General features: G+C 40.3%; 1 pseudogene; it reads left to right on the top strand.

Moving 5' to 3' along the window:
• MMACHCP1 (MMACHC pseudogene 1) lies at positions 477 to 725 on the top strand (annotated as a pseudogene).

Genomic DNA, 1497 nt, shown 5'->3' with positions numbered 1-1497 from the left:
CTGACTTCTGTTCAATAAATCAATTTACTTATCAATATGTCAATTTATTTATCCTTGCACCAAATAAGATACTGTTTATAAGCCTTAATATTTGGGAAAGCAAATTATTTCACCTGTTCTTCATGAATATGTTAACTGCCCTTGGCTTTTTGCTCTATGCAGTGAATTTTAAAATCAGCTAGTTTCATAAATTAAAATTTTTATTCAAGATATATAATCAATTTGGGAGATTCCTATCTAAGAATTCTCCATTTACTTAGATCTTATTTAATGTGTTCTAAGAAGGTTTCAATTTTCTCCATAAAAGTCTTGCAGATTTTCCGTTAGAATTATTTCTAGCATTTCATATTTTTCATTGCTATTGTCTATTGTAATGGTTGCCTTTTTTTTTTTTTTACAGCTTCTGATTTTTTTCTGGGGTATAGAAATAGAATTGATTTTTACTTATTGACTAGAAACTTATTAAACTTATCTTATGAATGGCGTCACTGGACTTATCAGGATGCTGTGACACCCCAGGAGTGCTACTCAGAAGAGCAGAAGGCCTACTTTTCCAGTCTGCCTGCCCAAGGATTGGCCCTGTGTGGCTTGGCTCAGCCCTCAGAGAAGCCTCGCTCTCCATACCCTGACTTTCCCTTCACCACACTCACCCCCAAGAAGCCTCAAAAGCTCAGCAGAGCCCACGGCCTCTCCACCTGGATCCCCTGTCCCTTGATACCTTTCTTCCCTGTGGGACCCCAATTTATGGTGGTACTTGATAGGCCTTTGGCAAAGCAAGAGGTTTCATTTTGGGTACAAGATGACTATTTTTGATAACGTGGTAGAGATCTTCCATGAAGATAACAAGGCTCAAGGAAGTTAGGTTTGGCCAAGGCAAGTCAAAAGCCCAGGAAGATCTAGAATTCTCATCTGCCTTCGAATATGGGACTCTTACATGTGTTACTATTTCTATGCAGTGCCCCAAGATGCTAATTTTTATAGGGCCTCAAGGGCAAACATCCCCTAGAATATCTACCTCATAGGGTTCTTGTGGAGATTGAATTAACACAGGTAAAACATTTGGGAAAAAACAAACTTGATTATAACACAGTGTATTAGTCCATTCTAATATTGATATAAATTTCTGACTTTCCAGTTTCAGGCTTTTTTTTTTTTTTTTTTTTTTTTTTTGAGATGGAGTCCCACTCTGTCACCGAGGCTGGAGTGCAGTGGCGCAATCTTGCCTCACTGCAACCCCTGCCTCCCGGGTTCAAGCGATTATCATGCCTCAGCCTCCCGAGTAGCTGGAATTACAGGCCTGCACCACCATGCCTGGCTAATTTTTGTATTTTTAGTAGAGATGGGGTTTCACCATATTGGCCAGGCTGGTCTCGAAATCCTGACCTCAGGTCATCCGCCCACGTTGGCCTCCCAAAATGCTGAGATTACGGGTGTGAGCCACCACACCTGGCCAGTTTCAGGCCTTTATATACAGTAACAACTATGAACATTCTTACA

The sequence above is a fragment of the Homo sapiens genome, chromosome 3 (assembly GCF_000001405.40).
Source record: "Homo sapiens chromosome 3, GRCh38.p14 Primary Assembly".
Taxonomy (NCBI): domain Eukaryota; kingdom Metazoa; phylum Chordata; class Mammalia; order Primates; family Hominidae; genus Homo; species Homo sapiens.
The sequence above is the reverse complement of the archived record's forward strand: the minus strand, read 5'-3'. Positions and strand labels throughout refer to the sequence as shown.